This window comes from Homo sapiens, chromosome 7 (genome assembly GCF_000001405.40).
Source record: "Homo sapiens chromosome 7, GRCh38.p14 Primary Assembly".
NCBI lineage: Eukaryota > Metazoa > Chordata > Mammalia > Primates > Hominidae > Homo > Homo sapiens.
In genome coordinates this window covers 33,558,535-33,574,765 of record NC_000007.14, presented here as the reverse complement: position 1 = coordinate 33,574,765, position 16,231 = coordinate 33,558,535, and the positions used below count along the sequence as shown (strand labels likewise).

Below are 16,231 nucleotides of genomic sequence, written 5' to 3'. Positions count from 1 at the left end.
TATAAAATAAATAAATAGTGAAAGTGTGTGTGTGTGCGCGTGTGTGTGTGTGTGTGTGTGTGTGTGTGTGTGTGTGTGTGTTTTCTATGACTTCCAGTACAATTGAAGTACTTATTCTTCCCTGTATCAGAAATTTCTAGGATAATCTGTGTGGTCCCAGGGGATCTCTGGCTCTGGTACCAAATATGGCAGGGGAAAAAAATAAAAGACATCAGGGAGACATATTCTTGTCTGTGCTGCCAGGACTTTATCAATCAGCAGCCCAGACCTTGAACATGCATGTGACCTTGAATGAGTTACTTAGCTTCTCTGGGCCTCATCTTCTTCATCTGAAATCATCTCTACCTTGTTGGATGACTGGAAGGGATAAATGCTTTAATATGTGTAATGTGCTTAAAAAGTGGCCAGCACATAGTAAGCACTGTGTATCTGCTGCTTACCACTGACCCACAGTTGGTGAGAAGAAAGGGCAAAGAGTTGCAGCAAAAATTGGAGCAAAAAAATAAAGGACCTTAAAAGTTAAAATCAAAATAAGTTATTTAGCTTCTTATATTCACTATTTGCAAAAAAAGTTTTTCCCACTCCATGCCAAAGTCTGATGTTTGTAAAAGGAAAGATGATGTGGTGTAGGTGGAACAAGCATGTGTTTGGAGATCTGGTTCCAGTCACAGCTCACCATTAAAATGCTATGTGATATCAGGTAAGCCTGTGGGCACTGGGACCCCACATGCACAATGGAGAAGTTGAAGTGGACAGTCTTTGAGGACCTTCCTTTTTAAATATTCTACCAGTGAACCACCTGAAGACAAAGATAGCAGCGCCACCACTAATGCCAGCAACTAAAAACCCCAAGCTAGGTGCAAATAGCCTTGTACATGTGAAATGGGAACAACTAAGTAGCCAACCTTTATTATTTAGGAGTTAATGTTCTCATACCCTACTCTCTTCTACTCCTTGGCTATCTGCATCTTCACTATTTCACTGTACATTACTATATCTACCAGAGAGTAAATGAGAAATAAAAAATAAGGTGGAACAAATCAGTCAGTAACACCCCTAGTGAGCGCCTTTGATAAAGTTTTAAGAAATAGCTAAGATGAAGTCTTAAAATTAATTATCAATACCTTTAATAAAATGAAAATATATCTGCACAAAGTAATAAATTACAGCATTTTTTTGCAGTAGCAAAACAGTTGAAACTACTTAAATGAGAGTGGTTGAATAAACTATGGTATATCCATAAATTGGAGAACTATAAAGCTTAGACAAGAATAAGAAAGAGCTCTATGAACTGGTAGAACCTGATATCTAGGGTACACTGTTACCCTGCAAAATCAAAGTGCAAAAGAGTATATTTCATGAGCTACCATTTTTAGATGTTAAAAAAGCAGTCTAGGGAATAGAAGAGCAAACAAATCATAAACATTTACTTCTTCGTACGTTTTTCCTGTCCACTGAAGAATCAAGAAGCAATAACACACCAATAGCAATAAGCACAACTACTACTCAGATACTGGTTTCTTAATAATATCCTATACTAAAAAGAACCAGGAGAAATTGCTTATTTCAAGCTTGGGAAGGTACAAAATAGGCCAAAAATGTCTTATTGTACCAGAAAATTAGAAAATTAGGGAAAAAAATGATGGGGGCATATTAAAAGGACATAGGAGGGTGAATTTTGTGGCATGTGAATTATATCTCAATAAAATTACAAGAAAGAAAGAGGGAAAGGGAAGAACAGAAAGAGGAGCCAGGGAGGGGTGAGAGGGAAGGAGGACACAGGAGCCTGAATTATTTTCCTCTGCTCAAATCTGGGAAATTTTCAGTATCAAAATAAGCAAAGGCAGTAGTGAAGTATAACCACTGAATAAAATGAATCCATCAATCCTATATTAATTTTAAAAATGGATAGGTAAATAGTTGATTGATAGACAAGAGAAAGTTCTCAAACAGCTCAATAGCAAAAAAAAGAAAGAAAATCCAATTAAAAATGGGTAAAAGATTGAACAGACATTTCTCCAAAGAAGGTATACAAATGGGCAACACATACATGAAAAATATGCTCAACATCGCTAATCATCAGAGAAATGCAAATCAAAACCACAATGAGACATCATCTCACTCCAGTTAAAATGGCTTTTATCAAAATGAGAAAAAGTAACAGATGTTGGTGAGGATGTGGGGAAAGGGGAATGTTTGTACACTGTTGGTGGGAATGTAAATTAATACAACCACTATGGAAAACGGTATGGAGGTTCCTCAAAAAACTAAAAATAGAACTATTATATGATCTGGCAATCCCACTGCTGTATATATATCCAAAAGAAAGGAAATTGGTATATTGAAGAGAGATCTGCATTCCCATGTTTATTGCAGCACTATTCACACTAGGCAAGATATGTAATCAACTTAAGTGTCCATCAACGAATGAATGAAGAAAATGTGATACATATAAACAATGGAATATTATTCAGACATAAAAGAATGAAATCCTTTCCTTTGTAATAACATGGATGGAACTACAGGACATTACGTTAAGTGAAATAAGCTAGACACAGAAAGACAAATATTGCATGTTCTTATCCTGCCTTAACTCATATGTGGAAGCTAAAATATTGACCTCATGGAAATAAGAGAGTAGAATGACAGTTACTAGAGGCTGGGAGGGTAGTGAGGAGCAGGGGATAAAAAGGTTTGGATAGTAAATACAAAAATACAACTAGATACAGGGAATAAGGTCTAATGTTCAGAAGCACAATAAAAAGACTATAGCTAACAATAATTTATTATATATTTAAAAATAACGAGAGGAGTGGAATTGATATGTTCCTAACACAAAGAAATGATAAAATATTTGAAGTGACTGATGTTCCAATTACCCTAATTTGATCATTGCCAATGGTATCCTTGTATCAAAATATCACATGTACTACATATTTATGGTATGTACAAATATTATCTATATGTAAAAATTAAACATTTATATTGAAAAAGAGAGGGTTCTTTTAGCAGAATGCTGCCTGATGAATGTAAAATTTAATTGCACATGGAAGTTGAGTGTACCTTACTGTGGCATCTCAAATTCCAAAATGATAAGAGTTCTATACTAATGAAACCATGTAACTATAAAAAAATATAAACTTCCTCTGTAGCCTGGGATTGAGAAAAATTTCCTAATTATAGATAAAAATTAAAAGAAATATGGCAAAAAAATAAGAAAAATTAAATGATCATTTCAAAGATGCAGAAGATACATTTAATGAGCTTAAAACATCCACTCATGGTAAGAACTTTCAGCAAACTCAGAATAAAAGAGACTTTCCTTAATCTGGCAGAAAGAGCATTTTATGTTTTCCAGTTGTCCTCCCATTTTCTTCTTTTTTCTTGTCTCCTTTAATATTTTCTGTTTTTTCTCTATTCTATTCTGTTCTTTCAGTAGTTTCCCTCAAAATGGTAAAACACATACCTAAATTATAAAAGTCAAAAGTCAATCGATAACCCAATAGCTTTATCCTAAATATCTGTATGTATTTGTTTTTAGGAAGAGACCATAGAGCATATTTGTAGTTCCTCTTTATAAACTTTTTTGTTTTAAATAATTTTAGAGCAAGATTGAAAACAAAATAGTACAATGAGTTTCCATATACCCCTCACCTATATAACATCTTATATAACCACAGTAAAATTACCAAAACCAGGAAATTAACATTGGTATTATATCGTTAGCTAGTTAGCTGACAGACTTTATTCAAATTTCACCAGTTTTTCCACTAATGTCCCTTTTCTGTTTCAGCATCCATTATGAAATTCCACATCACATCTGTTGTTATATCTCCTTAGTTTCCTCCAGTCTGTGATAATTCCTTAGTCTTCATGACACTGGCACTCCTGAAGCATACTGACGAATTATTTTCTGAAATGTTTGTCAACTTGGGGTTGTCTGGTGCTTCATCATAATTAGATTGAGGTTGTGTGCCTTTGTCACTAATACCACAGAAATGATGTTGTACACTTCTCAGTGCATCACATGTGTGATACATGATGTTGATATGTCTCATTACACTGTGATCATTTGGTTAAGGTGATGTCTACTAGGTCTCTCTCCTGTAAAGTAACAGTTTTCCCTTAAAATTAATAAATATATTTGAGACTATGCAAATATTTTGTTTCTCTTCAAACTTTCTCTCACTGATGTTAGCATCCACTGCTGGATCTTGCTTGCAGTAATGGCTATTGTGATGTTTGTCTAATGGTGATTTTACATTCTCTCATTTCTTCTTCATTTATCAAATGGAATTTTACTGTAAGGAATAGCTGTCCTTTCCCCCCTATTTTTATTTATTTATTTATATCAGTATGGGTTCATATTTCTTTTATTCTACAGGCTATAATCTAATATCACCATTATTTGTTTTGTTGCTCAAATTGTTCCAGCTTTGGCTGTTGGAAGCTCTTTGAGGCTGGCTTCTATGTCTTTTGAGCGCACTTTCAGCCTTCTGGCACTAGAAGATGCTTCTGGCTCATCTTGTGTTTTCTTGAGTCTGCCCTGGAATCAACCACTTCTCCAAGGAGCTCTGGTTCCTTTTTTAAAGTATTTAATTTTTATATCTTCTGTCACGTAGAAGAAGGTGCTATTACTATTTATATTTAATGCAAAACTTCCTTGCTTTTGGATATGCTTTGAATCTTGAAAAATGCTTTTTCTCATATGGGACAGTGCTTACAATACAGAAAGTAAGAAAAGCAGAATAAAACCACTTTTTAAGATAAGCATGTATTACCTACATAATCAGCCTGGTTATTTTTATTAGAGATGGTAATTAGAAACCAAAATCTGGGCACCAGGTATGTTCACTACTACTAGTATGTCTTTGCTCCCAGGCCCTCTTTGTTCCCAGGTCCTCTTCAGACAGAGCTAGGGAATATCATGTATTATGTATGCATGTGCATGCACACATTCGTCTATTTTATTTTTGCATTTATTTTATTTTATTTTATTTTTTTGAAACGGAGTTTCGCTCTGTCACCCAGGCTGGAGTGCAGTGGCGCGATCTCGGCTCATTGCAATTTCCTCCTCCCGGGTTCACGCCATTCTCCTGCCTCAGCCTCCTGAGTAGCTAGGACTATAGGCGCCAGCCACCCTTCCCAGCTAATTTTTTGTATTTTTTTTTTTTTTAAGTAGAGATGGGATTTCACCATAGCCAGGATGGTCTCGATCTCCTGACCTCGTGATCTGCCCGCCTCGGCCTCCCAAAGTGCTGGGATTACAGGCGTGGGCCACTGCGCCCGGCCTATTTTTATTTTTGCATTTATATATCTGCATATATATATATGTCTGTATGCTACTATATATATATACACATCTGTATATACTAAAAACCATGAGTTCATACTACAACCTCTGATTGAGTTTGATACTACAGGGTTCCCACTTCTGTACTTCTAACTTCTTTGTTTAATCCTAGCATACACATAAAGCAGTTTCAGAATTGATAATCCACACTGCTAGGATACACAAATTCACTAACTTGAGCGAAGCGTTTGTGTATAATACTTTTTACCCTTAGCCTCACAATACCAGTCAAAATACCCAGATTAGTGCTTTTCTTTCCCACCCCCTTCAGTGTAAATATGTTATCAATATCAATTCACAATAAAGTCAGGCTCATCTGTTATATTTTTGTATCCAATTTTAGGTTCCCCTACATCCTGGTTTTATTGATCTATTTATTTATAGAGAGGGAGTATGCAAAACACTACTATGTTTCTAGGAATCAAGCAAAACACAAAGAGCTTCTCAGAAAAGAATTGCACCCTCCTTATCCTTTTTATCTTGTTTCCATCTCTCTCCCCTTCTTTCTACCCCTTTGCCATTCACTTCCTATAGGTAACCAATCTCTTTAGTTTCTGATTTATCCTGCTTTAATTTCTTTTACACAAATAAATACATACACATATATTTTCTTATATTCCTTCCTTCTTACCCGAAGGGAAGCATACCATAACACCATTCTGTATTTCCCTTTTTCATTTAGCAGTATATACTGTTCAACATGTTTTGAAGTTAAGCTCTTATAGAAGTTAGAAGAGAAATTCTGAAAATAAGAGAAGATATGATACATGATGACATTGGCAAAACCACTATGGAAACAGTAAGGAATTGTCACAGTAATTCATGCATACACTCAACTCAAGAAATAGCTTTGTAGTATCCACTATGTTCCAGGAACTACTAACAAGTTACAACACAGATAAGCCCATTGCTAACCTTAAGGAACTTACAGTCTAGAAGGGAAATGTGAGAGTAAAAAGACAGTTCTAATACATTAGGATAAATCCATGATAGGGGTAAGCGATAGGGTTACCTAGGAGAAAACACAAAACTCTGGTTAAGTGGGAGGAAGGAAGTGGGGATGTCAGCAAGAGCTTCTGGAGGAGATATCATGCATGCTGAGAAATTAAGTCAATTAGAAACTCACCAAGCAAAAGTGGTAAGGGAGGAAGAGGCAGGAGCTCCAGAGAGGAAGCCACGTACACATTTTTAAAGAGAAAAATCCATGTCATGCACTGGTATGGGGAGTGCTGAGAGACAAGGCTAGAAAAGAAAGCAATGATGAAATCATGAGGTCACGAAGGGCCTGATAACCATATTAAGGAATTGGTACTTAAGCCTAGAGATAATAGGAGGCAAAGAAGTAAGACTGTAAGCCAAGGAAGTTCTTTCTATGTGTTCTGAAGTATAAAAAATGTATTGAAGAAGAAAGACTACAGGAAGGGAGAACAGGCTGCTGCAACAAAGCAAATGTAGCAATAGTGGTGGCCTAAGCTAGGCTAATGGGTGGGGACAGAGAGATATGGTTCAGGGCAAGAGATTTTATGCATCTATTTAAATCTAGCTTGAGCACCTATAGGTGCCAGTACTAATCCTGAGATATTAAATACAAAGAGAAGTAGGTTTTGGGGTAAGACGGGGTATGGAAGATAATGACTTCAGTTTCTGAAAATATTGAGATTAAGGTACTTCTGTCACATTTAAGTGGAAAAGGTCAATAAACAACTGGATGTATGGATCTAGAGCTTGGGAGAGAAGACCTGGTGAGAATTCAAATTGAGAAGTCATCAGCATGCAGAAAGTAACTAATAACAGAAATTAAAACCACCCAGTAAATGAGAAGAGCCAAGGACAGAATCTGAAGGAATACCAACTTCTCAGGCTAAGCAGAGAAGAGAGGCCCATGAAAGAGGCTGAGAAGGAGCAGCCAAGGAGATGAGACAATCAGTGGAAAGTGATGCCCTGGAGCCTGGGGAAGAGTGCTCAAGGAGAAAATCGTCAGCAGCACCAAATACTGCTCAAAAGTTAAGAGAAATAACAAGGTAGGTGATTTCAGAAAAGTATGTTTCAAAGTAGGAGAACAAAATAGCAACAGCTACTGAGAGTCCTGGTATCCAGGGAGATATATGGAATATGCACATTTAAAGAAGAGAGAGACTGCTGAGTTTGAATGCTGCTGGGAGAAGAAATGAGTTTATATATTTTTCAGGTCACATAAAGAGCACTGTATCATCAGATAGAATGAAAACGCACAAAGATAGAACTTCAGGTAGGCTCACCCTAAAAATTTAATAGAGAACAGTCTGGACTTGATTTACGGATTCCTTAAGAAATGCACATCTAATTAAATCTACTTCCACATGACATCAGGCTTCCATTCTGAAGGCGAACAGAACCCCATCATCATTCCTATCTCCCTTTCCTTTTATTGGTCTCATTACCCCACTGAACTACCACTGGAAAGAAACTTACAACCTGGGGAAACTTAGTTCCTCATATACAGTTATTCTTCTTACGTTCTTAAATTCTAGCTGTTTACACTTTTAACATAAAGGATCTAATATTTGTTCTTATAATTTTCTTTGGAAAAATGTGTCTCTAATTTGTCAAATGTACATTCTTCTTCAATGAAATTTAAGCCAATTTAGCATCTGTGATTTGAAAGTTTTGTCTTTATATTAATAACATATGTGTTTTATAACTTTTGGCAAAAATGCACTGTATACATACAGTAATGACTAACTAATTCACCTTGTTAAAAAAATAAAAAGGTAGCATTCTGATAATAACCAGAGCTATAAAAATAGAAAACAGGCATTTAAATTTGAAAAGCACTAAATCTTTTATCTCTACCTTTCAAATCATAGATACTTCTTCAAAACAAACAACAGAGCAACTCCTCTTTAAATTTTAAGTTATAAGGTCCTTATAAGTGTTTGATTTTCTTCATTAAGTGGGAACTTTAAGGGTGATGTTACTCCCAAAATTCTCTGTCTTTCAGGAAATAACCTACCATCAGAATTTCAAAATATATATACATAATGTATACATATACATCATAGATGTATAATATTAGTAATTATGTTATGCATCATGTATTATGTATTGTGAATATATATATATATATTACATGCATATCTTTCAAACTTGGCAAAAGTACAGACATCTTTTTTTAAAAAAGCATTAATTCTTGTCTGCAGCATTTCTTGATCACTGACCTAACATTATGCCAATATCTTAACAATAATGAGAACCAATCTTTTCCATCAGTATATCAATATTGTGTCTATAAATATGTGAAGGTGTGAGTATAGAATGGAGTCTGTTACCCATAAGGCAGAAGTCAACAGAATCTGTCTAATGGAAGGAAACTTAAATAGACATTTGTAGATAAAACTGGTCCAGATGTTATCCGCAGACCACACTCCTTACATTTTTTTTCCCCAATAGTAAATAAGTGATTCAAATAAGATACTGGGACACCATCTCTTCCACTTCTCACCTTGTACCTGTATAAATACTCTACAACTGCAGTCTAAGAGGTATCCTAATTTATTTATAGCTATATATATATATATATATATATATAAGCAGTATATATAGCGGTATATATATATATATATATATATATATATATATATATATATATATACTACTGATAGCCTTAATGTTTTGTATTGATCTGGGCTCTGCCTTCAACCCTATTTGGATGCTGGCTATTATGCAAGTTTCCAAGTCAGACCTGAAGATAGACTGTTAAAACTTAAGTGATGACATGCCTGTCTTTCACATTCACTGGCAAGACAATACCCACAACCCAGAAGCTCTGAACTGAATATAGAATTTAAAACAATCTCTGCTATCATCATGCACCCTGGAAAACAAAAAGACAGGGAACCAAGATAAACAACAAAAGAAAATAAACTACTGAATAACATCATTCTGTTGACTACATAGACTTATTGAACAGAAGTCATTACCTGGCAGTGATGCATTTTTTGGGAGCTCACAAATGTTTCAGCCAGTACACAGTTACCACCTAATTTCCCTTTAAGTTGCATTTTCCTGAAACTCTAATAGGCAACTTATGTGACAGAATCAGGCTTCCTCATACCAAGTAAGCAAACATAGGAATGGCTCAGAAGTGAAGGCTCAAGGTCAGAAAGTCTAAAAGTAAGACAAGTCAGTAAAAAAGAGATAGTAGTACATGGAAATATGTGAAACACTGTAGGAAGGACAGAAGACAATGAAGATTTACTGAGCATCGACTATGTACCAAAGACTAGCTCAAGGCACTTCATATATGTTATCTTTTTTGATATTTCAATATCCTTATGAAGTAGGCATTATAACCACCATTTTAGAAATGACACCAAAGCAAATGATTAGTAAGTAGAATCTAGATTTTAAATAGGTTCACCTAATACCAACCATCAAGCTATTTTCACTTCCCTGTGTAGCCTCATGCACTACATTATATAAATATTTCCTTTTGATGTTATATCTACACTGCAGTTCTACAGCCAGGGATTCTTAAGTGTTAGTTCCAAAAAATTAGTACAAATCATTCTTTACCTCAAAAAGAGAGATTATCTCCCAGCAATGAATTCAGTTTTTGGAGAAACAGGCTGGATCTGCTTTCAATCTCAAATGCCTGGTAAGGCAACATAGAAATATTTGTGAGATTGTTGTTATTCTCATCACAGAATGAGCACACATTACATTTTCACCTCTTTTCCAGAAGAAATGGATCAGGGCTTTAAAGTGACAGCCAAGAATTTATGTAATCTTCTATCGCAGTTTCAGAACATCTGACGCAAAAAAAAGAATAAATCACCTTTCCATTATAATAATCAGAATAAAACGAAAAGTCATCGTGAATTGAACATTTCCCATGGGCTAGGTCCTATGCTAAGTGTCTTCCATGCATTATCTTGATCAGTCCTTACAACACTACTATGGTCTCAGATAAGGAGACTAAGGCCCAGAAAGGTTAAGTTACTTACTCAAAATCACATGGCAACGTAAGTGATAGGCTAGAATACAAATCCAGGTCAGCCTGTCTCCATATATAATGCCCCTGAAATATAACACATCATTTCCAACTAATTATTTGTTGTTTGTGTTGTATTAAAATCCCTTCCAATGTCAAACATGCAAGACGAATTACAGGTGAGTTACAACTATGGTGATGAGGGTGCCATGGGTGGATAGTGTAAGAATAGGTCTATAGCAGATAAATTACACTATAATGTAACTAAGATAAAATAAATAAGATATCTCTCCTCTCTCTCCAATTTGCCAATAAAACAAAGAAGGGGAGGTGATAGCTCAAAAGAAGACAATCTTCATCTTTAAAGCAAGATTCAGTAACATAATGAAATTTTTTTTAAAGAATTGATGAATTCCAGGCAAGATTTTTAGAAAATCTTTCAAAGCTAAAATGAATAAAGCATAAGTTCCAGTAAGTATGTGGTCTTATCGGCAGCAATATACAGAGATCTGCAGTCTTAAGTTAGCTGCTTTCTCAGAAACTCTGATCATGCAATAAGGCCTGCTGTAAACACTGTTCAAAGAAGCTCGCACTTCGCATCTCATGACTTTGTTTTAGCGCCGAATGCAGATTGGCACAGATACTATATTGCAGTCATACTCAGACATTCCTTCCCTCGACCATCACTTACAATACACATTGCAGCTACAGTGACCCCATACGTGCAACTCAACAGGAATAGAGGATTGAGTTATTCACCTGAGAATCAATTTTACACCAGACTAGAATAAAAAGTTGCTTTTGAAATGCGTAAAAGAGGCCAAAAATACACACTATTTCTTTGGCAGCAAAAGCACCACACTATCTTCATGCTAAGATAGAGAGTAGTTGTACAATAGGCCATAACAAAGTTATCAAAATTCAATTTTCTAATCAAATGTCCTTATTTCGGATCAGAATGACATCAGAAATAGCTCAAATAGAACTGCTTTTTCAGTATAGACTTTACCTCCTGTGTCAGTGGAGATCGTAAATTCTTTTAAAAGCAATCTCTTAGAATGATGGCCATAGTTGTTTGTGAAACAAAACAACTGTTACTAATCCTAACAATAAACCCATTTCCAGATCCCAGGTTCCAGTGGTCTTGACCTTGGTTTAAAGTTGAAGTGAAATGCATAGATGTCTTAAAACTGGGAACATAAATCAGACTGAGTGCCTACACATATTCTAGCAAATCCTTTATTTGATTATTATCTGAACTTATCCTTTTGACACCAGAGATGACTCAACACATCTGGAGTACTGTTTTGACAGTACTTCTGATTTACACTCCTAGACCCATTGCAATCTGTAGGCTTTAGCAATATAAATTTTAAAAATACACTCTATAATAATAATTATACCTATACTCTCCATTGCATCAACATGACATCAATATGTCATCAAAATGAGCATTTCTTGGTTTTGTAAAAATATGTTAAGAATGGTCTCCTTTCTCTTTTTCTTTTTTTTTCTTTTGAGATGGAGTCTTGCTTTGTCACCAGCCTGGAGTGCAGTGGCACAATCCCGGCTCACTACGACTTCCACCTCCTGGGTTCAAGTGATTCTTCTGCCTCAGCTTCCCGAGTAGCTGGGACTACAGGCGCGTGCCACCATGCCCGGCTAATTTTTGTATTTTTAGTAGAGACGGGGTTTCACCATGTTGGCCAGGATGGTCTCGATCTCCTGACCTCGTGGTCCACCCACCTCGGCCTCTCAAAGTGCTGGGATTATAGGCATGAGCCACCGCGCCCAGCCTCCTTTCCCTTTTCTATGGCTTCTGTCACTACATTTCCAAGCGATTTGGCTTTTTCAGCTTTCACAGGTTAGCTGTTTCAAGTTCAGTTTAGGATTTGGGGCTGTACCATATAATAAGGCACCTCCTTGACCTAGCGGAAGCCAATTAATTAAATTTGGGGGAAGAAGGAATTCTATTTTGTCTGCAGATTGAAACTTTAGTCAAATGGTGCCTTTTCAGAGAAGCAGGAGAAAAGAATATTTCATTTCCTTTTGAGTAGCTGTTGTTAATTTTGAATAGTCCTAGGTTACAGACATGCACATTTAAAAAGAAATATCTCCTTAAGGAATCCCCCAAAAGTGATTATTACCATATATGTTTTTTATCACTTTGTTGTATATACCACAGAGACTTCACAGTCCACCAGCCATACATTTCAATTTCATCCTTTGATTTTCAATGGTAAATCTAAGGGTCAACTAGTCTTTCTTTGAAATGCCCTATATGGCACAGTTATAGGAAAGGCAGAGTATCATTAATACAATCTTCAATTAATAGAATAAAACATACTACTACTTATATTCCTACTTTGAAATTGAAGTTACTTTGAAATTTCAATGGCAACTCTATTTTCAGCCCAGGATTATTCCTAAAAGGTCAGACTACATAGAATTGTTAAGGGGTAAAATTAATAACGACTATTTTTCAAGAAAGAAAAGACTATTGTTGGTAACATGTCTATGTAATATCTTTGAATCAATAACATAAAGTACATAGCCATCAGTGGAAAATACTGCTGTACTTGTATTACAAATTCAAATCACTGTTCTTATTCTGGAATTTTCAGCTGGTTTAATTTTAATAAGAAATCTTACCATGACATTGTCCTGTTGGAAGATCACAAATTAAAGCATTTTTCCTTCTTCATACTTGATCAGATCTGTTTCTTCCTGTTCTTCTTTTCTCTTGTTCTAGTTTTTGACTCCGTTTAATTCTCATTCACACTTTTAATGATCTCCTCTCTAGTTTTTAGAGAGAAGTCTCTATTTTTAGGTGGTGGATGCACGGCATATTTTTATTTTCTGACTCATCTTCCTCCTCATATCATTCCCAAATTCTCATCTCAGAGTCCCAAAAAGATCAGTGTTCCAAGAGCTGGGAATTTATCGTTTCTGTCAACTCAGGTGGCTACTACCTCTACGATTTGGGAAAGGCTAGAGGAAAAGAGAAAACTGTTCCCTTTTCTTCTTCCTCCATCCTTTGAGCTATCTTGGCAGAGCAGGACTCAGAAATACTGTCATCATGGCCTGCATTAAACTTATGCATGAAGAAGTAGGAAATAAGACAGGACAAACATTTACCCTTAAGTAGGAAAACCAGGGTGGAGTTGGGCGGAGAGAGAAGAATATTGGACAATGGTAGCAGTTCACTTAGAAAAGAACTCCACAACTCTAAAGCACTTTAAAATGGTGTCCATCAATTCTTCTTCAGTGTATTAGGTGGCTTACTAAGATCACACAGATTGGTAGATTAGAAAAATGAACTGCAGGATTAAACGACAGACTTGAAATGTATAGTCCCTAATAGTTGTTGCAGTAAGAGCAAAGCAAGTTTTAAAAGGAAGGGTCTCCAAGAAGTAGCATAAGGAGAAAAAGGCAAAATGGGGTCCATTTAGCACTAGAAAGAAAAAGCTGCCTGGGGAAGTCAGACATGTTCAATTAAAAATAGGGATGGGTAGGTGCTAGTGAGTATTGTTTATTTCCACTGAAGCCAAGACAAAAGGAAATGAGCTTAAATTGCAACAGGAGGGATTAAAGTTAAACATTAAGGGAAAAAACCTTCCTGATGAGAAGGCTGGTGAGATAATGGAACACATAATTGAGAGGGCTGTGGAAGCCTATCCCTAGAGATGCTTAAGAATAAACATCTATCTTTCTGGGGTGGTTTTACATGCAGAAGGGCCTGGAGTATTTGAATGGAGACTTTTAGATTTATCTTCCAGTCCTAAAATACTATTGCTTTATTTAATGAGACAGACCATCTCCTTGGTACATCCACTGAAGCAACAGTGAACGGGGGAGGGGGAAGTAAGCAGCAGCACTGTTTTATTTTGACCTTGCTTGGATAAAAGCAATTCTCAAAGCACCTGAACCAAAGCTTATACCCAGGTGTGGCTAATCTTATAATAGTTAATGAATGCATCTCGTGGTGATTTCACAAAGTTAACGGCAAGTTTGGACTGTGTTCCTTCATTAAACAAAGGGATTGGAAAAAATGTCTTCATTTAGAAAGGGAAGCAGTTGAATTGTTTGTAATGTGATGGGAAGACTAAAGTAAGTTTGGTTATCTTGTTCCTACCCAGAATAATCCACTATGATCCCTAGGCTGGTTTGGAGAAAATCCAGTTGTTCTACACAATTTCAGGGCCAGGAAAGAGATATACTACATATACCCATCCGTCCTGCAGCAAGCATCTACCATGTGCTGGCTCTATGTTAAGCGCTAGGGGTACCAAAGCCACAAAACACATGCACTATCCTCAAGGATCCCACTGCAGGGTTGGGTTAAGGGAAACAGAGCTCTATAATACAATGCAATCCCAGATACGGTATCTGGGTAAACTGATAGAGAGGGGTGTTGTGGGTCAGGGGAAGAGTCATGAATGGCGTTAGGCAATATTGGAATTATGAAGGACTACAGGAGTCAGCCAGCTGCAGTAGGAAAGATGGGAATCCTGGGCAGAGGAATAATATGCCCAGGATCAGGGAGATCTGGGAACAAAGGAGAATATGCATCCTTCTGGAAGCTGCAGATAGGTGAGAATGATGGCAGCATAATTGCTGGTGGCAAGTAAGAATGAAGGGGCTGGAGACACAGGAACTAGATTATGAAGGGACTCACGAGTCGTGGCAGATAATTAGGAGTTTATTGTGAAGGCAATGAAGGACTTCAAGCTCTAGAGGGATATGATCAGATCACATGTGTCTATAGGGGTTGCATAATATAAGTAAACTCAGCTGGCAGCATATTTGGCTGCGATTTTTCAGTACACGGATAGTGGTTAGGTCAGGTGAACATGCGAGTAATTACCAGGCTGTTAAGTCTCATATTCCCAAGACACAATCCTGTTTTTATCGGGTAAGGCTGCTATCTGAAGCTTCGGCCAGTCAAGCCTCCTGGCTCATCCTGCTTCTATGCCCAACAGCTAAATGATGAAGTCATAATCCTGGGGGCTACTCTTGGGTTATATTTCTTAAAGAAAAAAAATCATCGTTGGCTAACTCCATTCTTAAAGAGCAGCTTGTATCACTTGTACCCCCAAGACACCAGGAATTAAAAAATAAAATGTCAAGAGTTACAGAGTTCCACTTTATCTTCATCAAATACCCTGCGGTTTCTGAGCAATTATCATAGTGCTTTACCCAACAGCTGTGCAGTGTTTATTCCTAGTCTTCTACGGGCACAAAAAATGTTTAGGAAATCATCTACGAAGATAAGTGTGGCCACTGGGGACAATTCTCTTGCTGATGATCATTTTCACCAAAAGCAGGGAGCACCATTATGAATCATCTATGACCACTTACGCTTAAGCTGAATACATTAAAATTTAATGGTTTCAACACAAGAAGCTAGTCGTAAGTCTGCACATCAAGGCATTAATGTGTTGGGCCCAATTGTACTTAGGGGAAGAAGGTCAGGAATGCATGACAGCCAACTATATTTTGCTATAAAATGAAAATTATGAATCTCTAATCACAAGTGAGGAGTCTTTTTAAAAAATTCATTAGTCATGATTTCATTCTCTAAATTATTCATTTTCTCAAATGTTATTGCTGTAGCCTTTTAAACTTTTCTACTCTCTCCACTTTCAAGTGATAAATGCCTGAGAACTGAGCAGTCTTTAGCCTTTGAATATAATATAATGCTATTTCAACATGCTGCGGGCTTCTGCTCACAATTATTCCAGATTATGAATGCAGGTTGGCCATTCAAGGTTAAAACTGTCACCTTTCATTTGGTCTAAGAGATAATAGGTTCATAAAAAAAAAGGCCTGTTTCAAGAATTTTCATTTCTAATAAAACCTAAATTTTGAAACAAGGCCTCCTCTATAATCTGGCCCCAGTCCAC

The 16,231-nt window shown here is 36.5% G+C and overlaps 1 protein-coding gene across 19 annotated transcripts in view; it reads right to left on the bottom strand.

Annotated features, from left to right (window-relative positions):
* Positions 1-16,231, bottom strand: part of BBS9 (Bardet-Biedl syndrome 9) — a 506,483-nt gene that overhangs the window by 61,002 nt on the left and 429,250 nt on the right. Inside the window, exon 22 of one of the 19 annotated variants that reach the window (NR_145411.1) lies at positions 9,908-9,986. The exons of the other annotated variants lie outside the window; for them this stretch is intronic. The gene's annotated coding sequence lies outside the window, so the exon portion shown is untranslated. The remainder of the gene's footprint in view (positions 1-9,907; positions 9,987-16,231) is intronic. 19 annotated transcript variants of the gene reach the window in all.